The 19,184-nt window shown below is 64.0% G+C and overlaps 1 protein-coding gene and 1 non-coding gene across 9 annotated transcripts in view, besides 2 other annotated features; both read left to right on the top strand.

Annotated features, from left to right (window-relative positions):
* The window catches only part of LAMA5 (laminin subunit alpha 5), a 58,248-nt gene that overhangs the window by 28,904 nt on the left and 10,160 nt on the right, over nt 1-19,184 (top strand). For 3 of the 8 annotated variants that reach the window (NM_005560.6, XM_006723796.4, XM_047440150.1), the window contains exons 13-51: nt 40-177; nt 259-393; nt 471-605; nt 682-819; nt 1,623-1,675; nt 1,964-2,069; nt 3,140-3,192; nt 3,283-3,388; nt 3,788-3,887; nt 4,067-4,223; nt 4,370-4,508; nt 4,703-4,845; nt 4,928-5,034; nt 5,166-5,319; nt 5,692-5,852; nt 5,929-6,037; nt 7,280-7,377; nt 7,465-7,666; nt 7,795-7,921; nt 8,493-8,632; nt 9,156-9,271; nt 9,354-9,565; nt 9,964-10,168; nt 10,399-10,543; nt 10,740-10,880; nt 11,003-11,176; nt 11,443-11,544; nt 11,649-11,732; nt 12,863-13,093; nt 13,855-13,968; nt 14,205-14,329; nt 14,553-14,633; nt 14,739-14,953; nt 15,651-15,751; nt 15,960-16,140; nt 16,241-16,390; nt 17,519-17,670; nt 17,740-17,850; nt 18,614-18,725. In NM_005560.6, coding sequence (NP_005551.3) covers nt 40-177; nt 259-393; nt 471-605; nt 682-819; nt 1,623-1,675; nt 1,964-2,069; nt 3,140-3,192; nt 3,283-3,388; nt 3,788-3,887; nt 4,067-4,223; nt 4,370-4,508; nt 4,703-4,845; nt 4,928-5,034; nt 5,166-5,319; nt 5,692-5,852; nt 5,929-6,037; nt 7,280-7,377; nt 7,465-7,666; nt 7,795-7,921; nt 8,493-8,632; nt 9,156-9,271; nt 9,354-9,565; nt 9,964-10,168; nt 10,399-10,543; nt 10,740-10,880; nt 11,003-11,176; nt 11,443-11,544; nt 11,649-11,732; nt 12,863-13,093; nt 13,855-13,968; nt 14,205-14,329; nt 14,553-14,633; nt 14,739-14,953; nt 15,651-15,751; nt 15,960-16,140; nt 16,241-16,390; nt 17,519-17,670; nt 17,740-17,850; nt 18,614-18,725 — 5,253 coding nt within the window. Of the gene's footprint in view, nt 1-39; nt 178-258; nt 394-470; nt 606-681; nt 820-1,622; nt 1,676-1,963; nt 2,070-3,139; nt 3,193-3,282; nt 3,389-3,787; nt 3,888-4,066; nt 4,224-4,369; nt 4,509-4,702; nt 4,846-4,927; nt 5,035-5,165; nt 5,320-5,691; nt 5,853-5,928; nt 6,038-7,279; nt 7,378-7,464; nt 7,667-7,794; nt 7,922-8,492; nt 8,633-9,155; nt 9,272-9,353; nt 9,566-9,963; nt 10,169-10,398; nt 10,544-10,739; nt 10,881-11,002; nt 11,177-11,442; nt 11,545-11,648; nt 11,733-12,862; nt 13,094-13,854; nt 13,969-14,204; nt 14,330-14,552; nt 14,634-14,738; nt 14,954-15,650; nt 15,752-15,959; nt 16,141-16,240; nt 16,391-17,518; nt 17,671-17,739; nt 17,851-18,613; nt 18,726-18,839; nt 18,961-19,184 lie in introns of those variants that run through there. The other 5 variants (XM_047440148.1, XM_011528818.3, XM_047440149.1 and 2 more) reach the window with 3 other exon arrangements.
* On the top strand, nt 5,852-5,922 carry MIR4758 (microRNA 4758). The gene has a single exon (NR_039915.2). It is a non-coding gene; the product is annotated as a microRNA 4758 (primary transcript).
* Nucleotides 16,662-16,956: an enhancer, noted in NCBI's record as "tiled region #11098; K562 Activating non-DNase unmatched - State 14:Gen5'". NCBI's record gives its function as "activates a minimal TATA promoter and a strong SV40 promoter by Sharpr-MPRA in K562 cells {active_cell/tissue: K562}" and the evidence as "EXISTENCE:reporter gene assay evidence [ECO:0000049][PMID:27701403]".
* Nucleotides 17,099-17,158: a silencer, noted in NCBI's record as "silent region_13108". NCBI's record gives its function as "represses an Ori minimal core promoter by ATAC-STARR-seq in GM12878 lymphoblastoid cells {active_cell/tissue: GM12878}" and the evidence as "EXISTENCE:reporter gene assay evidence [ECO:0000049][PMID:35858748]".

The raw sequence follows: 19,184 nt of genomic DNA, 5'->3' as shown, positions 1-19,184 counted from the left end.
GTGCCTCTGACCAAGCATGTGGGCCACCCTTTCCTGCAGCCTGCCAGTGTTCCAGCCCTGGAGTGGCCGATGACCGCTGTGACCCTGACACAGGCCAGTGCAGGTGCCGAGTGGGCTTCGAGGGGGCCACATGTGATCGCTGTGCCCCCGGCTACTTTCACTTCCCTCTCTGCCAGTGTGAGTGGTGCCTCTCCACGTGGGCGTGGGTAGGGGAGGCCCGTGGGCCTGGCCTACCGTGACACCCGCTCCGCTCTGCAGTGTGTGGCTGCAGCCCTGCAGGAACCTTGCCCGAGGGCTGCGATGAGGCCGGCCGCTGCCTATGCCAGCCTGAGTTTGCTGGACCTCATTGTGACCGGTGCCGCCCTGGCTACCATGGTTTCCCCAACTGCCAAGGTGAGCAGAGGGTCAGGGCAGGAAGGGGTTCTGCCACCCACATGGCGCCAGGGCCTGACCCCATTGTCCCTCTGCAGCATGCACCTGCGACCCTCGGGGAGCCCTGGACCAGCTCTGTGGGGCGGGAGGTTTGTGCCGCTGCCGCCCCGGCTACACAGGCACTGCCTGCCAGGAATGCAGCCCCGGCTTTCACGGCTTCCCCAGCTGTGTCCGTGAGTGCCTAGGGAGGAAGTGGTGGGGAGGCAGGTGCAGTCTCCACTGCGTGCCCACAGCTATCCTTGTCTGCAGCCTGCCACTGCTCTGCTGAAGGCTCCCTGCACGCAGCCTGTGACCCCCGGAGTGGGCAGTGCAGCTGCCGGCCCCGTGTGACGGGGCTGCGGTGTGACACATGTGTGCCCGGTGCCTACAACTTCCCCTACTGCGAAGGTGAGCAGGCAGGTGGCTGTGTGCACCAGGTGCCGGGCCTGTGTGTGGGTCTGTGCTGTTCACACGCTGCCTGCCTTCCTGTGAGGCTGTTCACGTGCATCTTGCTGTGTGTACTGCGACTGCGTCCCCACGCTCTGTGTTCGCACCTTGTTCACATGCCGTGCAGGGGTGTCCGCGTACTGCCCGTGTCTGCGTGCTGTGCATCCGCGCCTGTCGTGTCTCGTATGGGTGCATGTGTTGCGTTCTGTGTGTGTACGGGTGTCATGTGTTGCTTGTGTGGGTGTGTGTGTCACCTAAGTGTGGGTGCCTGTGTCACGTAAGTGGGTTTGTGTGTCACGTGGGTGCATGTGTTGCGTGTCGCATGTGGGCGCGTGTCGCATAAGTGGGTGCGCGTATCGCATAAGTGGGTGCGCGTATCGCGTGTCTCAAGTGTGGGTGTGCGTGTTCATGTCCTTTCACGGGCGTGTGGGTGTGTTAGTGCACGTGTAGTGGGTGCATCTTCACGTGCGTTTGTGTGCTTGTTCAGACGTGTGTCACACACTGCGTGTGGAATGTACACGGGTACCCCACGCGGTGCACGTTTGCGTGCATGTCCATGAGCAGGTGCTGTGTGGTGGGATGGCACGTCCGTTGCTGCGGAGGGAGCAGGGAGGTGCGTGTTTTCAGGCCGTCCATGTGGATGAGAGGCACCTGTGCTGGTCCTCAGCTCCTGTGGGACCGTGGGTTCTGGCTGGGCCTGGGACACCCTTGGCCTTCCGGGTTGGTCACTGGGAAATGACCGAGGCATGGTCCTCTCTTCACAGCTGGCTCTTGCCACCCTGCCGGTCTGGCCCCAGTGGATCCTGCCCTTCCTGAGGTGAGCCCAAGTCTGCTCGTGTGTGGGAGATGGGTGAGGACCCAGGCCAAGCTAAAAGTCCCGAGTCCGGTGAGACCAGGGCTTCCTGCCTGCTGCTCAGTTGCCATGGCAACCCCAGGGCCTGTCTGCTCCTTAGGCTGGTCCTCTGCCCCCACTGCAGGTGACTCCTGTGAGTCACAGGTGAGGGCCCTCAGCCCTCACCACCCCTTGTCAGGGCTCTATGGCTCTATGGTTTGTGGGTGGGAGAGCAGGGCGCCCGCTCTGACCTGCAGTCTTGTCCTCTCCCAGGCACAGGTTCCCTGTATGTGCCGGGCTCACGTGGAGGGGCCGAGCTGTGACCGCTGCAAACCTGGGTTCTGGGGACTGAGCCCCAGCAACCCCGAGGGCTGTACCCGTGAGTGTGCCCTGGAGTATTGGGGTACAGGGGTTCCTTGGGGAACTGTGCCCACAAGTATATCCTGGAGGGAGTGTTGGGGTGCAGGGTTCCTGGAGGGGCTGGAGCCAGTGAGTGTGCCCTGGAGGGAGTGGTGGGATATGGGGTTCCTCGGGGATTGTACCCATGAGTGTGCCCTGAAGGGAATGTTGGGGTGCGGGGTTCCTCAGGGGGGCTGCGAGTGTGCCCTGAGGGAGTATTGGGGGTATGAGGGTTCCTTGGGGGGCTAGAGCCTGTGAGTGTGCCCTAAAGGGAGTATTGGGGTATAGGGGTTCCTCGGAGGGGCTGCACCTGTGAGTGTGCCCTGGAGGGAGTGTTGGGGTGTGGGGTTCCTCAGGGGATGGCACCCATGAGTGTGTCCTGGAGGGAGTGTTGGGGTGTGGGGTTCCTCGGGATTGCACCCATGAGTGTGTCCTGGAGGGAATGTTGGGGTGCAGGGGTTCCTGGGGGGGTACTGGAGTCCATGAGGGTGTCCTGGAGGGAATGTTGGGGTGCAGGGGGTTCCTGCGTGGGACTGGAGTCCATGAGTGTGCCCTGGAGAGAGTGTTGGGGTACGGGGTTTCCTCGGGGTGCTGGAGCCTGTGAGTGTGCTCTGGAGGGGGTGTTAGTGTGTGGGGGTTCCTCGGAGGGGCTGCACCCGTGAGTGTGCCCTGGAGGGAATGTTGGGGTGTGGAGTTCCTCAGGGGATTGTACCCATGAGGGTGTCCTGGAGGGAGTGTTGGGGTACAGGGGTTCCTGGGGGGGGGCTGGAGTCTGAGTGTGCTCTAGAGGGAGTATTGGGGTATGGGATTTCCTTGGGGGGCTGGAGCCTATAGTGTGCTCTGGAGGGAGTGTTGGGGTATAGGGGTTCCTTGGGGAACTGTACCTGCAAGTGTATCCTAGAGGGAGTGTCAGGGTGCAGGGGCTCCTGGGGGTGCTGGAGCCTGTGAGTGTGCCCTGGAGGGGGTGTTAGGGTGTGGGGGTTCCTCGGGGGGCTGGAGCCAGGCTCTCCTGCCCCACCAAGCATCTGAGTCCTGCCCTGCTCTCCCCAGGCTGCAGCTGCGACCTCAGGGGCACACTGGGTGGAGTTGCTGAGTGCCAGCCGGTGAGTCTGAGGACCAAGGTGTGGGGGATTTGGGGGCACACTGGTCAGGACCCTCCCCTGCCCCACTTCACCTCCTCCCTTGGCCCCCAGGGCACCGGCCAGTGCTTCTGCAAGCCCCACGTGTGCGGCCAGGCCTGCGCGTCCTGCAAGGATGGCTTCTTTGGACTGGATCAGGCTGACTATTTTGGCTGCCGCAGTGAGTGCCCACTCGCTCGTCCCAGACCACAGCCCTGCCTCCCCTCGGTTTATGCTGGGGAACCCAAGGCCCGGAGGGACAAGTGCAGCCTGGGCAGCATGAAGCCCGGGTGATGGATGGCTGCCCCTTGGTGCCAGCCTGTGCCAGGGTGTGGGAGAGGGGGTGCAGCTCCCACCCAGATGCGTGGCTTCCTCTCCCCTGTCCTACACCTGGGCAGACGGCACTAACAGATCCCAGCGCCCTCACCCTCGCCCTCGCCCTCGCCCTGAGCCCTGAGCCCTGAGCCCTGACTCTCCATCATCCAGAGAGCCCCAGGCAGGCTTCTCAGTCTGGCTGTGAGGGGCCCCTGAGGCTGGGTGGGGGCCAGGCAGCCTCTGACCTCCCACCTTCTCCCTGCAGGCTGCCGGTGTGACATTGGCGGTGCACTGGGCCAGAGCTGTGAACCGAGGACGGGCGTCTGCCGGTGCCGCCCCAACACCCAGGGCCCCACCTGCAGCGAGTGGGTACCCCTTCCCCACTGGGTGGTGGGGAGCGGGGCAGGCAGCTTGTCCTCCGGGCCTCTCCGTGTCCCTCACCATGGGCCCACGTGAGGCCTCACCCTCCCTGGAGACCCGGGGCCGCTGTGCAGGGCTAGGTAGGATGGCCAAGCTGCACCTGACCAGCCCCTGCTGTGGCCAGGCCTGCGAGGGACCACTACCTCCCGGACCTGCACCACCTGCGCCTGGAGCTGGAGGAGGCTGCCACACCTGAGGGTCACGCCGTGCGCTTTGGCTTCAACCCCCTCGAGTTCGAGAACTTCAGCTGGAGGGGCTACGCGCAGATGGCACCTGTCCAGGTGGGCGCTGTGCTCCCCCTCCCAGGCTCAGCCTAGAAGTGGAGCCAGGCGTGGCTGGCAGGGAGGGGTGGGCAGGCCCCTTGAAGGCCCAGGCCTCAGGCTGGCAGTGGTCAGGGAGAGTGACCCGACGCTCCATGCCCACCCAGCCCAGGATCGTGGCCAGGCTGAACCTGACCTCCCCTGACCTTTTCTGGCTCGTCTTCCGATACGTCAACCGGGGGGCCATGAGTGTGAGCGGGCGGGTCTCTGTGCGAGAGGAGGGCAGGTCGGCCACCTGCGCCAACTGTGAGTGGGGTCCCTGGGCCACAGCCCCTGCCCCACCAGCCCAGCCCACCCCACCCCACCCCACTCCCAAGCCCCGCCACCTTCCTCTGGCTCATGTGGGTGGTAGGACCAGCCTATCCCCAACCCTGTAGGGGGTGCAGCCTGGGGTGGCCCCAAGGGCTGGGCTCAGGAGTCTCACCCCTGCCCCCGCCCAGGCACAGCACAGAGTCAGCCCGTGGCCTTCCCACCCAGCACGGAGCCTGCCTTCATCACCGTGCCCCAGAGGGGCTTCGGAGAGCCCTTTGTGCTGAACCCTGGCACCTGGGCCCTGCGTGTGGAGGCCGAAGGGGTGCTCCTGGTGAGGCAGGGGCCAGAGTGAGGGCTGGGGGCCGGGTCAGGGGGTGGGGCCCACCACTCTCAGCACCACCTCCACCCTGCAGGACTACGTGGTTCTGCTGCCTAGCGCATACTACGAGGCGGCGCTCCTGCAGCTGCGGGTGACTGAGGCCTGCACATACCGTCCCTCTGCCCAGCAGTCTGGCGACAAGTGAGGGCCATGCGTGCGGTGGGACCGGGGTGGGGGCTTCCTGGACCCCCACTGTGCCTGGCTTCCCCCACTCAGGCTGTCTCTGGGGACCTGGGTGGACCTGGGGCTGACCACGGCCTGTGTCCCCCCAGCTGCCTCCTCTACACACACCTCCCCCTGGATGGCTTCCCCTCGGCCGCCGGGCTGGAGGCCCTGTGTCGCCAGGACAACAGCCTGCCCCGGCCCTGCCCCACGGAGCAGCTCAGCCCGTCGCACCCGCCACTGATCACCTGCACGGGCAGTGATGTGCGTGTCCTGGGACCCCACGGAGCAATGGGTGTTGCAGGACCTTGGCCTGGGGGCTGGGGGTCCTGTGGCGGTGGCAGGTTATAGGAGCAGGGCGCTGCCTCAGGCAATGGAGCCCAGCACCCAGGCAGGGCGCCCCTGCCTCCTGCCTCCTGCCTCCTGCATGTGTGACCTCAGTGCCTGTCTGTATGTAGGATTGGCTGTGGCCTCCACATACAGCTCAGCCCCCACCACTTGCCTGGAGATGTCCGGGCCAGGGTGGGACTCGGCTGAAGGGCAGGCCCTGGGGTCAGGGAGGCGCTGGAGTGGGAGGGGAGGGAGGTGGGAAGGGCGAGGGGTGGCGGGCCTCCCGTCACCCTGCCTTCCCTGCAGGTGGACGTCCAGCTTCAAGTGGCAGTGCCACAGCCAGGCCGCTATGCCCTAGTGGTGGAGTACGCCAATGAGGATGCCCGCCAGGAGGTGGGCGTGGCCGTGCACACCCCACAGCGGGCCCCCCAGCAGGGGCTGCTCTCCCTGCACCCCTGCCTGTACAGGTGAGTGGGAGCCGGTGGGGCTGGAGTAAGGGCACGCCCGGGGCTGCCCCACCTGCTGACCACCCTCCCCCCACAGCACCCTGTGCCGGGGCACTGCCCGGGATACCCAGGACCACCTGGCTGTCTTCCACCTGGACTCGGAGGCCAGCGTGAGGCTCACAGCCGAACAGGCACGCTTCTTCCTGGTAAGGACCCCTCAGGTCCCCACCCCAAGGGGTCAGCTTCTTTCAGAAGATTTGAAACATGCATGAGAGGGGAGAGGACAGTTGGGGTCCCAGGTCCCCAAGGCGGCCACACTCGCTCATGCCCAGCCCAGCATGTTTCTTCTGGAACCCCTCCTGCAAGCGTTTTGTGGATTCAGTCCCTTTTGACGTACCCCCGAGCTGTTCCATGTGCTCAGGAAAGCACCTGCAGTCACAGCTCCCTGGCCCCAGGGCAGCCACCTCCTGGCACAGACAGCGTTGGTTGCCTGTTCTGGAACTTTCTTTTCTTTTTTTTTTTTTTTGAAATGGAGTCTCACTCTGTCGCCCAGGCTGGAGCGCAATGGCAAGATCTTGGCTCACTGCAACCTCCACCTCCTGGGTTCAAGCGATTCTCGTGCCTCAGTCTCCCAAGTACCTGAGACTATAGGCACTCACCACCACGCCTGGCTAATTTTCGTATTTTTAGGAGAGACAGGGTTTCACCATATTGGCCAGGCTATTCTCAAACTCCTGACCTCAGGTGATCCGCCCTCTTGGGCCTCCCAAAATGCTGGGATTACAGACAGGAGCCACCATACCTGGCCTGGCACTTTCTATAAATGCCACACAACATGTTCTGTGCAGCCGCGTCTCCCACCGTTGTGTCAGCGGATAAGTTGCCGTGTTCCGAGACACCAACCTCACATGGCCGCACGGAAAGGGAGCACCCATTTGCGGCTTGTGCCTGCTGAGTGCCTGCCTGGGTCAGGTCCTGGGAGAGCTGGGCCTGGCCCGGCCTGGTGGCACCAAGCAGCACTCGAGATAAGAGTGGGGGAACAGTGACGGATGGGAGGGCGAGGGGGAGGAAGAGGGCTATGGGAGGAGCCGCATAGGCCTGTGGGCCCAGGAACTGGCCAACACGCTGGTCTGCGGTTGGGGTTTGTGCAGCTGGAGGAGGAGCAAGGGCATCTTGGAAAGAGCAGGGCTCGGTCGGACGCCTGGGTTTGCAGTTTCCTGGGTCTGAGCTGTGTGACCGGCCCCCCCATCGTACCGCCTGCACCCCCCATCGTACCGCCTACACCCCCCCATCGTACCGCCTGCACCCCCCCCATCGTACCGCCTGCACTCCCCATCGTACCGCCTGCACCCCCCCATCGTACCGCCTGCACCCCCCCATCGTACCGCCTGCACCCCCTATCCTCCCCGCACCACGGGCGTTGCAGCATCTCGTCCCTCTGCCTGCAGCACGGGGTCACTCTGGTGCCCATTGAGGAGTTCAGCCCGGAGTTCGTGGAGCCCCGGGTCAGCTGCATCAGCAGCCACGGCGCCTTTGGCCCCAACAGGTAATGGCAGGTAATGGGGCTGGGAGGGGCGCGGCCGAGGGCCCGGCGGCAGGGCCGGCTCTGACTCACCCACTGTGCTCTCACCAGTGCCGCCTGTCTGCCCTCGCGCTTCCCAAAGCCGCCCCAGCCCATCATCCTCAGGGACTGCCAGGTGATCCCGCTGCCGCCCGGCCTCCCGCTGACCCACGCGCAGGATCTCACTCCAGCCATGTCCCCAGCTGGACCCCGACCTCGGCCCCCCACCGCTGTGGACCCTGATGCAGAGCCCACCCTGCTGCGTGAGCCCCAGGTGAGGGCCATAGTCTCTAGAGGGACGGGGGTGTCAGGGCAGGACTCCGGGTCCCAACCCAGGGCAGGTTGTCCAGGGGGCAGCAGGGGCTCATAGCTCAGCCTGCTCACTAGGGCCTATCCCTGCAGGCCACCGTGGTCTTCACCACCCATGTGCCCACGCTGGGCCGCTATGCCTTCCTGCTGCACGGCTACCAGCCAGCCCACCCCACCTTCCCCGTGGAAGTCCTCATCAACGCCGGCCGCGTGTGGCAGGGTGAGTGTCTGGTGTGGGGGGTGGAGAGGCTACCACACACGATGAGGCTGGAATGCCGGCGCCACAGCGTGGCCTGTGCTACCTGCTATGAGCGACAGGCAACATGACTCTGTCCTGCCATCAGTTCTCAAACTAGCTGCCCTTGCAGCCCGCAGCCCCTACCCGCCCGCTCCCGTTCCCAGAAAAGCCTGGGTCTCGCCTCTGTCTCGTGCGTTGGGAAGCCCCGTTGTGCTCCATGGCACGTGGCGAATTGAGGGCTTGCCCCAGGATGCCGCTGGCAGCACATGTGGCCCTGTGTGTTTGTCTGGTTCCTGGCTCGGCCAAGCCTGGGGTCCCGCACATGGAGTTGACCGGTACCTAGAGGTGTCCCGCATGACATCTGTAGGTCATGATGCGGCCAACCCCCGTGACATGAGGGGCCGGCCTTGCAGACCTCTTGGGCACGTCCCGTGCCTGTGGCCGTTGGCCAGCGGGCACTCCTTGGCTGCCCCAACGCTGCCATCTTCAACCCTCTGGGTGTCTTGGGGGCGCTAGAGATGGGGGCCTGACCCTGCCTTTCTCCCCCGCCCAGGCCACGCCAACGCCAGCTTCTGTCCACATGGCTACGGCTGCCGCACCCTGGTGGTGTGTGAGGGCCAGGCCCTGCTGGACGTGACCCACAGCGAGCTCACTGTGACCGTGCGTGTGCCCAAGGGCCGGTGGCTCTGGCTGGTGAGTCCCAGCTGATGTCCTGCTCAGGGACCAGCTGTCCTTATACTTGTCATTACCACTGTGGTACACTTGGGCTGGGTCTGTCTCTTCTGGGCCTGCTGAGGCCTGGCCTTGTGCCCAGCAAAGCAGCTCCTGCCTTTGGGGACCTCCCGATCCACCTTGTGAGGCTCCAGAGGGGCCCTGGACCCTGCACCCTGCACCCTGCTGGTCAGGGTGGCCTTCCTGGAGGAGGTGGGGCCTCCAGGAAGGAGAGGGAAGAGGAAGGCGTGGCCAGCAGACAGAGATGTGGGAGACACCAGGAGGTCTCATGAATGCTGCTGCCTCCTCATGCCCCCGAAAGCTGCTGTTTGGCTTGGAGTGGCCTCCCCTGAGCAGCCAGGGCCCAGGGCTGGGCTGGGCTGGGCTGGGCTGCTGCTGCCAGGACTCTGAGCTGCCTGCAGGACCCTGGTCCCAGCCAGCCTCTGGGGGCCTCCCCGCTGCAGGCTCTGGGCCCGCGGGAGAGTGACCAGGCCTCACCCCCTAGGATTATGTACTCGTGGTCCCTGAGAACGTCTACAGCTTTGGCTACCTCCGGGAGGAGCCCCTGGATAAATCCTATGACTTCATCAGCCACTGCGCAGCCCAGGGCTACCACATCAGGTGGGCAGGGCTCTGGCAGGTCAGGGGTCCGGGGTGGGGGTCTGGGCCGGGAGCTGGCCTCACCACGTGCCCCTCCATGTAGCCCCAGCAGCTCATCCCTGTTCTGCCGAAACGCTGCTGCTTCCCTCTCCCTCTTCTATAACAACGGAGCCCGTCCATGTGGCTGCCACGAAGTAGGTGCTACAGGCCCCACGTGTGAGCCCTTCGGGGGCCAGTGTCCCTGCCATGCCCATGTCATTGGCCGTGACTGCTCCCGCTGTGCCACCGGATACTGGGGCTTCCCCAACTGCAGGCGTGAGTACCCCAGTCCTTGGGCGCCCAGTGGCAGGGAGTTGGTGCCAGAGCCCAAGGTGGACGGGTCGACCAGAAAGCAGGGTCAGGAGAATGTTCTAGAGCCTGGCAGGGCAGCATTGCTGCCCCATCTGCGGGCCTGGGCCCAGGACTCCAGCTTGCGGGCCATGCAGAAGGTTTCAGGGACCAGCAGGTGGTCCACAGTCTCTGACGATGATGTTGATTCTGAGCAGCTGCCTCCATGTCAGGAGCTGTCCAAGGCTCAGCACCCGGGGCAGGGGTCCCTGTTCTTGTCTCCCCCGCCCCCGTCACACTGCCACATCCCCTAGGGCTGCATTCTGGGCCTCTGAGAGGGGCGGGACTGGGAAGAGGGGTCAGTAAACCCTGTACCCGCCCCACAGCCTGTGACTGCGGTGCCCGCCTCTGTGACGAGCTCACGGGCCAGTGCATCTGCCCGCCACGCACCATCCCGCCCGACTGCCTGCTGTGCCAGCCCCAGACCTTTGGCTGCCACCCCCTGGTCGGCTGTGAGGAGTGTAACTGCTCAGGGCCCGGCATCCAGGAGCTCACAGACCCTACCTGTGACACAGACAGCGGCCAGTGCAAGTGAGAGCCCAGAGCGGCGTCAGCGCGGCCCCTGGTGGCCTTAAGGACAGCATTTCCTCTAGCCAGAGGGTCCTGGCACCCACCCTGCTCCCATTTGTGCTCCCTGGGTGCAGCAGCGCCCTCTCCTCCACTTCTGGGAGGATGCTGCCTGGGTGGGGGGTGCCTACGAGGTCTCACTTTGGTGTGAGTGACCTGGGGTGGAGGGGGCTCAGCTCCCGCCCCTGCCACAGGTGCAGACCCAACGTGACTGGGCGCCGCTGTGATACCTGCTCTCCGGGCTTCCATGGCTACCCCCGCTGCCGCCCCTGTGACTGTCACGAGGCGGGCACTGCGCCTGGCGTGTGTGACCCCCTCACAGGGCAGTGCTACTGTAAGGTGAGTGAGGGCTGGGCCCAGATCTGGCCTCTCCCTCCGGCCTCATCAGCTGAAAGTGTCCTTACGGGCCTTTCGGGGCAGCTGGGGCTTCCTAGAAGCTTTTGGGAGAGTCATCCCCATTGGCAGGTGGGTACCAGGAACCCGGGGTCAGGCACCTGGCACCTGCCGACCACTCTCACTGTCCTCTCATCCCTAGGAGAACGTGCAGGGCCCCAAATGTGACCAGTGCAGCCTTGGGACCTTCTCACTGGATGCTGCCAACCCCAAAGGTTGCACCCGCTGCTTCTGCTTTGGGGCCACGGAGCGCTGCCGGAGCTCGTCCTACACCCGCCAGGAGGTGCGCCTGCAGGACTGAGGGCATTGCCTTCTCGGGGAGGTCTTAGGTGGGACTGGATGCAAGATGGGGCCCTGTGATGTGTGGGCATCCACCCGTGTGCAGCCACACGTGTGTGCCCACAGTTCGTGGATATGGAGGGATGGGTGCTGCTGAGCACTGACCGGCAGGTGGTGCCCCACGAGCGGCAGCCAGGGACGGAGATGCTCCGTGCAGACCTGCGGCACGTGCCTGAGGCTGTGCCCGAGGCTTTCCCCGAGCTGTACTGGCAGGCCCCACCCTCCTACCTGGGGGACCGGGTAAGCAGGGCATCAGGTCTGGGGGAGGCACTTTGAGGATGGCCAGGACGCCTGAGAGGGTTGGGAGCCAGGAGCGGGGTCTGTCCAGGGAGGGGGAGCTCCATGGGGGTCCGTGAGGGTGCCCAGGCCCTGTCCCGGTAGGGAATGAGCGCAAGTATCCAGGCCCAGCACAGGGCTCTGTGCTGGGGGTGCCCAGACCACTGCTGACGGGCTCTGAGCCTGTGGCCAGAGTCTGGCCAGGTCACCTCTGTCTGTCCTGCCTCCAGGTGTCATCCTACGGTGGGACCCTCCGTTATGAACTGCACTCAGAGACCCAGCGGGGAGATGTCTTTGTCCCCATGGAGAGCAGGCCGGATGTGGTGCTGCAGGTGAGGGAGCTGAGATGATGTGGCAGGGTGGTTGGGTGGGCGTGGCGCAGTGGCACCGTGGTCCAGGCCCGTGCCAACCCTCACCTCCCCATGTGCCTTCCCAGGGCAACCAGATGAGCATCACATTCCTGGAGCCGGCATACCCCACGCCTGGCCACGTTCACCGTGGGCAGCTGCAGCTGGTGGAGGTGAGGGGAGCTGGCTTGGGCACCCAGGTCCCTCATGGACCTCAGCTCATCTGGGAAGGCCGGAAGGGGTCCCAGTGCTGCTGTGCCCATTCTCCGTGGTGGAAAACAGCCCAGGAGCAGAAGCGGGGTGGGGGCTGGGGAGGTCCCCACACCCATTGTCAGATATCTTCTGTGCTGGTCACCCTGGGGGGTGTCATGCTGTCTTCCCACCTGCTTTGTGAGTCCCTGATCCCTGAGGGGTGAGCAGCTGCTCAGTAGCTGTTGGCTTCCTCCATGCACTGCCTGTTAGCATCTTTTGCCCATTTCTCTTTGACTTGCAAATCTTTTTCCATCCTTTTAGAGTTCTTTGTTATTCTTGGTGCTTACCCTCTGTCAGACTTCAGAGTAACAACCGTCTTCTCCCCTCTCACAGCTCATCTGGTTTTTCTTTGTTTTTTTTTTTTTGTTTGTTTGTTTTTTGAGACAGTCTTGCTCTGTCGCCCAGGCTGGGGTGCAGTGGTGCAATCTCGGCTTACTGCAGCCTCTGCCTCCCAGGATCAAGCGATTCTTCTGTCTCAGCTTCCCAAGTAGCTGGGACTATAGGCACCCGCCACCACACCCTGATAATTGTGTATTTTCAGTAGAGATGGGGTTTCGCCGTGTTGGCCAGGCTGGTCTCGAACTCCTGACTTCAGGTGATCCTCCCACCTCAGCCTCCCAAAGTGCTGGGATTACAGGCATGAGCCACCACACCCAGCCTGAGCTGTCTTCTGATGAACGGCCTTATAGTTAATGTACTTGAATTTATCCTTTTTTCCTTGGCAGCAAGCGTTTTTGCATCTTGTTTAAGAAAGTATTTGTCACTACTTGATCAGAAAGGACCTGCCTATGTTTTCTTCTAGAAGCTTGGCTGTTCTCTTTGTGTATTTCAATTCTTAAGGCATCTGGAGCTGGTTTGATGTGTGGTGTGAGGCAGGGATCTAGGTGCTGGCTGGCCTCATGGGAGACTGGTTTTTCTACCTGTGTGTACCTCCTCCTGCCCCATGGTCTTTGTGCCCCTCCATCCCCTACAGGGTTGGGGGGTCTGTTCTAGGCTCCCTGTTCTGTCCCATTGAGTGTGGCCCCACTGAGGTGCCATCCTGGACCCACAGGGGAACTTCCGGCATACGGAGACGCGCAACACTGTGTCCCGCGAGGAGCTCATGATGGTGCTGGCCAGCCTGGAGCAGCTGCAGATCCGTGCCCTCTTCTCACAGATCTCCTCGGCTGTCTTCCTGCGCAGGGTGGCACTGGAGGTGGCCAGCCCAGCAGGCCAGGGGGCCCTGGCCAGCAATGTGGAGCTGTGCCTGTGCCCCGCCAGCTACCGGGGGGACTCATGCCAGGTGAGGTTAGGACAGCACCAGACTGCGAGGCGGCTCACCTGTGCACACCCTTCCCTCCAGCATCCTCCCTGTGTTCCCTTCCTTGCTGCCTCCACTTCCTGTCACCCTACTCACCTCTCTTCCTGCCCCTGCTTTTCACAGGCTGCTGGCCAACTCATGGGCCTGCCTGTCCCCTGCTGCCTGTCTGCCTGCCCCTCGTCCGCCTGCCTGCCCCTCATCCGCCTGCCCCTCCATGCACACACCCTCCATACCCCTTTCCCACCTACCCCAGCCCCCACCACTGGGTCACCTGGACATCCCCCACCGACCATCCTGGCGTCTGCCTGTCATTCTGCCCATCCCTCGCCCACTGTGTGTCTGTCCAGCTGCTAATCTGCCCTGCTAATCTGTCTGTCTGCTGTAACTTTGCTCCTTCTGTATGAGGAGGTTTGTGGTTGAATACCTCCTAGAAGGAGTGGAAAGAGTAGGCCCTGGTCCACATGGAGTGGGTGGTCACCAGCCCCAAGGCCTGGTCATTCCCGAGACAGGACATCCGTGTGGCTTTGAGAGCTATGTCCTCAAACAGCAGCCAGGTGCTGGCCCACCTCCAGCCGGCCGAGGCCAGGAGTTCCTGACCAGCCTCTGACCCAGCGGTGACCATGCTCCACGGGTTCCCAGTGCCTCGTGCCTGCAGGATCCCTGAGGGTCTGACTTGTGAGCTTGCAGGGTGGGGCCCCTCGTCCTCTCAATCGCTGATGCCACCTGCCCCCGTACACCCTCAGGAATGTGCCCCCGGCTTCTATCGGGACGTCAAAGGTCTCTTCCTGGGCCGATGTGTCCCTTGTCAGTGCCATGGACACTCAGACCGCTGCCTCCCTGGCTCTGGCGTCTGTGTGGTGAGTAGGGGCTGGTGGGGCCAGGGGGGCAGCATTCACTGAAGGCACAGTCAAGTGTGCCAGGGAAGACCAGGGGCTGCACTTCCAGGTCAACTGAGGTCTGGGGAAGGGTGTTGCCCAGTGGGGGACCATCTGGCCTTGGGCACAGAGTCTGAGGCAGGGGTGGTGGGAGCTGCACAGACTCGGCAGTAGGATGTGGGTGTCCACCATAGCTCTGACTGTCCACTCTGCCCCAGGACTGCCAGCACAACACCGAAGGGGCCCACTGTGAGCGCTGCCAGGCTGGCTTCGTGAGCAGCAGGGACGACCCCAGCGCCCCCTGTGTCAGCTGCCCCTGCCCCCTCTCAGTGCCTTCCAACAAGTAAGCCAGCCTCCTCCCGGGACGAGGCCCTGATGGTGCCAGGCTCCCTTCACCCAGCAGCGGGGTGGGTTCCCACTGCCCTCTGCAGAGGCCTGGACAGCTGGAGGTGTCCGTGAGGTCTGGGCCCCCGACGCCTGGCGTGTGTTCCAGCCGGAGCACAGTGTGCTCGCCCGGGCCCGGGCACTGCCAGGGGCCTAGTGACTGACGCTGCTGGTCTTTGCAGCTTCGCCGAGGGCTGTGTCCTGCGAGGCGGCCGCACCCAGTGCCTCTGCAAACCTGGTTATGCAGGTGCCTCCTGCGAGCGGTGAGCTGGGGCTAGGGCAGTGGGGCAGGGCCTGAGTGCTGACCCCAGGATATGCGAGGGTGGGCGCCACGGGCCACTGACGGCCCCTCCCCACCCTGCTCCCAGGTGTGCGCCCGGATTCTTTGGGAACCCACTGGTGCTGGGCAGCTCCTGCCAGCCATGCGACTGCAGCGGCAACGGTGACCCCAACTTGCTCTTCAGCGACTGCGACCCCCTGACGGGCGCCTGCCGTGGCTGCCTGCGCCACACCACTGGGCCCCGCTGCGAGATCTGTGCCCCCGGCTTCTACGGCAACGCCCTGCTGCCCGGCAACTGCACCCGTAGGCGTCGGGCTGGGAGGGATGCACCCTGGGGAGGGTTGCGCGGGGAGGAGGGAGGCCTGCTGGGCGTACCCCGTAAGTAGGCTGTGTGCCTGATGCTGGGGCCCAGCCAGGACAAGTCGGAGCCAGCCTTCTGGGTTCATGGTCAACCCTTTCTCCCCCGCTATGATCCGGTCCTCCCGCCCCAGCGATCAGGCCCTCCCGCCCCAGCGATCAGGCCCCTTCACCATCAGGCCTCCCCCGGACCATCACACCCTTTCTCCCTACTACAATCAGACCCTCCCCATACCAGGATCACATCCCCCCTCCCCTACCCATGATCAGGCCCCCACCTTCACCATCAGACCCTCCCCCCAACCCATGACCAGCGCCCCCCCCACCTCACGATCACATCCCCTCTCCCCCCACAATCAGTCCCCCCTCATGGTTAGACACCACCACCAATGCCCCACCACTGGCAGCGGACACCAGCCGTCAGAGCAGGGCAGGCCATGGCAGGGAGTCTGCAGGTCCCTCGGGCCCAGGGGAGGCAGCTGGGGAGTGGGGCCAGGCTGGGACACGAGTGGGTAGCCGGGTGGTCCGGGCGGCCTGGAGGAGACACAGCAGGAGGCAGTGAAGTGAGGGCTTAGGAGGGTGCCTAGGGGCTCCCTGGGGGGGTGAGAGGGCCCAGGGCTGCAGTCACGGACCCCTTCTGCAGGGTGCGACTGTACCCCATGTGGGACAGAGGCCTGCGACCCCCACAGCGGGCACTGCCTGTGCAAGGCGGGCGTGACTGGGCGGCGCTGTGACCGCTGCCAGGTAGGGCTGTGGGGTAAGCAGGGCTGGGTGGGTGGGGCCTAGGGACTAGAGTTGGGGCCTGGGGAGAATCTGATAGGTGGGGCTGAGGGGCAGTGTTTGATGGGCAGAGCCTCAGGGGGTGGGGCCAGATGGGCAGGACCCCTGGCTTCCAGGTTGGTCTGGGACAGTCTTGAGGGCTGGGCAGGGCAGTGACCAGCCTGTGCCACAGGAGGGACATTTTGGTTTCGATGGCTGCGGGGGCTGCCGCCCGTGTGCTTGTGGACCGGCCGCCGAGGGCTCCGAGTGCCACCCCCAGAGCGGACAGTGCCACTGCCGACCAGGGACCATGGGACCCCAGTGCCGCGAGTGTGCCCCTGGCTACTGGGGGCTCCCTGAGCAGGGCTGCAGGCGTGAGTGCTGGCCGGTCACAGGAGGGCGGATGGGGACTTCTGAGTGGGGTACGCTCCAAGGTCCCAGGCCAGCCATGCTCACCCAAGCCCCCCACCACAGGCTGCCAGTGCCCTGGGGGCCGCTGTGACCCTCACACGGGCCGCTGCAACTGCCCCCCGGGGCTCAGCGGGGAGCGCTGCGACACCTGCAGCCAGCAGCATCAGGTGCCTGTTCCAGGCGGGCCTGTGGGCCACAGCATCCACTGTGAAGGTGTGTCCTCAACACCCCACTTCCCCACACCTGATGGAGTAGGAATCCAAGTCCCACACAGCCTGGTGACCCCAGTGTTAACGTCGACCTCCCAGAGTGGTCCCAGCTGCCTTCCATTTCCCGAGAGACCCATGCCTGTCCAACTCCAACCACGCTGAGGAGCGCTGCAGCTCCACTGCTGGCTGCACCCCTCTACTGTCCCTAGCCTTCCTGTGTGCCCTGGCCCCACCCCATCTGCTGGCCCTTCCTCCCCCACTGACCCCACCCCTCCACTGGCCCCACCCCTCCACTGACCCCACCCCTCTGCTGGCCCTGCCTCCCCCACTGACCCCACCCCTCCACTGACCCCACCCCCATTGGCCCCACCTCTTCCACTGGCTGCACCTCCTCCGCTGGCCCCACCCCTTCACTGACCCCACCTCCACTGGCCCCACCCCTCCACAGGCCCTGCCTCCACTGGCCCCCTCTTCCTCCACTGGCGCCACCCTTTCACTGACCCTGCCTCCACTGACCCCACCCCTCCACTGACCCCACCCCTCCACTGACCCCACCCCTCTGCTGGCCCTACCCCTCTGCTGGCCCTACCCCTCCACTGACCCTACCCGTCCTCTGAACCCACCCGTCCTCTGACCCCACCCCTCCACTGACCCCACCCCCACTGGCCCCACCTCTTCCACTGGCTGCACCTCCTCCACTGGCCCCACACCTTCACTGGCCCCCTCTTCCTCCACCGGCCCCACCCCTTCACTGACCCTGCCTCCACTGGCCCCACCCCTCCACAGGCCCCGCCTCCTCCACTGGCCCCCTCTTCCTCCACTGGCCCCACCCCTTCACTGACCCTGCCTCCACCGGCCCCGCCCCTTCACTGGCCCCACCTCCGGCCCCAACCCCTTGTGCTGGCCCTACCTTCTCCCTGGGTGACCCCATGCCCTTCACTCCCATCTGACTCCTACCTGACCCTATGACTCTGCCAGAACTCTGGGACCTCCCCACAGGTCCTGTGTCCCTAAGCTGACCTCATGACCTCTGGCTGAGCCCTCCCCACCCTAATGACCCCAGGGCCCCAGCTGATCATTCTCCCCTGGCCTGACCCAATGACACTGACCTGTGACCCCACATCGCCTGCAGTGTGTGACCACTGTGTGGTCCTGCTCCTGGATGACCTGGAACGGGCCGGCGCCCTCCTCCCCGCCATTCACGAGCAACTGCGTGGCATCAATGCCAGCTCCATGGCCTGGGCCCGTCTGCACAGGCTGAACGCCTCCATCGCTGACCTGCAGGTACTGAGCGTCCTGGCCTTCCCTCCCCAACCCGGGCCAGTGCAGGCCTTCACCTTTCGCCTCCCACAGAGCCAGCTCCGGAGCCCCCTGGGCCCCCGCCATGAGACGGCACAGCAGCTGGAGGTGCTGGAGCAGCAGAGCACAAGCCTCGGGCAGGACGCACGGCGGCTAGGCGGCCAGGCAGGAGCCCCAAGACCCCCCAGGGCCCCGGGAGGCTTTCACCTGTGTTCCCCGCGGTTCGCTTGTCCTCATTCAGCAGATGTTACTTCATGCCTCGTACATGTGTCAGTGCAGGGGACAGGAGCTCGAGAGTCTTAGGGGTTGACCAAGTCACTGAATTACTATCTAAACTACCTAATACATTTGTTTACAGTGTATAATATCACTCAAATGTCTTTTTTTTTTTTTTTTTTTTTTTTTGAGACACAGTTTTGCTCTTGTTGCCCAGGCTGGAGTGCAATGGCTCGATCTCGGCTTACCATAACCTCTGCCTCCCGGGTTCAAGCGATTCTCCTGCCTCAGCCTCCTGAGTAGCTGGGATTACAGGCACACGCCACCACGCCCAGCTAATTTTGTATTTTTAGTACAGATGGGGTTTCTCCATGTTGGTCAGGCTGGTCTTGAACTCCTGACCTCAGGTGATCTGCCCATCTCAGCCTCCCAAAGTGCTGGGATTACAGACGTGAGCCACTGTGGCCGGCCTCAAATGTCTTAATGAGTAACTATTTCATTAAATTGACAGGAAATAACAAATGGCAAGTTATAACCAATAATTTTAGGTAACTAACAAGTGATAAATAACAAGTCATCAGATAAGAGAGTTAAATAGATAAGGGGCCCCTCTTCCCTGGGACCCTCGGCGCTCCCCCAGACCCCAGGCCCTCCCTTGCCACCCCGACCCTCGCCTACCAGCAGCGTGGGCTAGTGGGCTCTTCCTCCACAGGCCGTGGGGACCCGAGACCAGGCGAGCCAATTGCTGGCCGGCACCGAGGCCACACTGGGCCATGCGAAGACGCTGTTGGCGGCCATCCGGGCTGTGGACCGCACCCTGAGCGGTAGGGGCCAGCCCAGCCAGGCTCAGGGCTCAGAGCCAGGAGGGCTGCCTGGGGTAGGGGTGGGGGTGCCTGGCCGAGCTTGGCCTGGAAGAACAGGCAGGATCTGTCTTTTAGATGGGAGACGACGCCTCTGGAGTGAACAGTAGGGCAGGGTCAGGAGGTCGGCGACACAGCCGTGTGGCCAGACAGGTGGCCCCGGGAGACGTCAGACCCCTCGACAGCCTCCCCAGGAAATGTGCCGGTTAGATGTTCGCGCTCACAGATATCCCGTAGTGCACACTGAGACATGGGACTCAGGAGAGATTTGGCTCCCTGAGCCTGCCTAACAGGACCTGCCAGCCCAGCCTGGGGGTCGGCAGGGGGTGCCATGTCAGAGAGAGCTGGCCAGGGAGCAGGGTGGGCCAGGCGGAGAGGGGCAGGACGAGAAGGCTCAGAAGCTGGCTGAGCAGACTGGTGTCA

This window comes from Homo sapiens, chromosome 20 (genome assembly GCF_000001405.40).
Source record: "Homo sapiens chromosome 20, GRCh38.p14 Primary Assembly".
Classification (NCBI taxonomy): domain Eukaryota; kingdom Metazoa; phylum Chordata; class Mammalia; order Primates; family Hominidae; genus Homo; species Homo sapiens.
The sequence above is the reverse complement of the archived record's forward strand: the minus strand, read 5'-3'. Positions and strand labels throughout refer to the sequence as shown.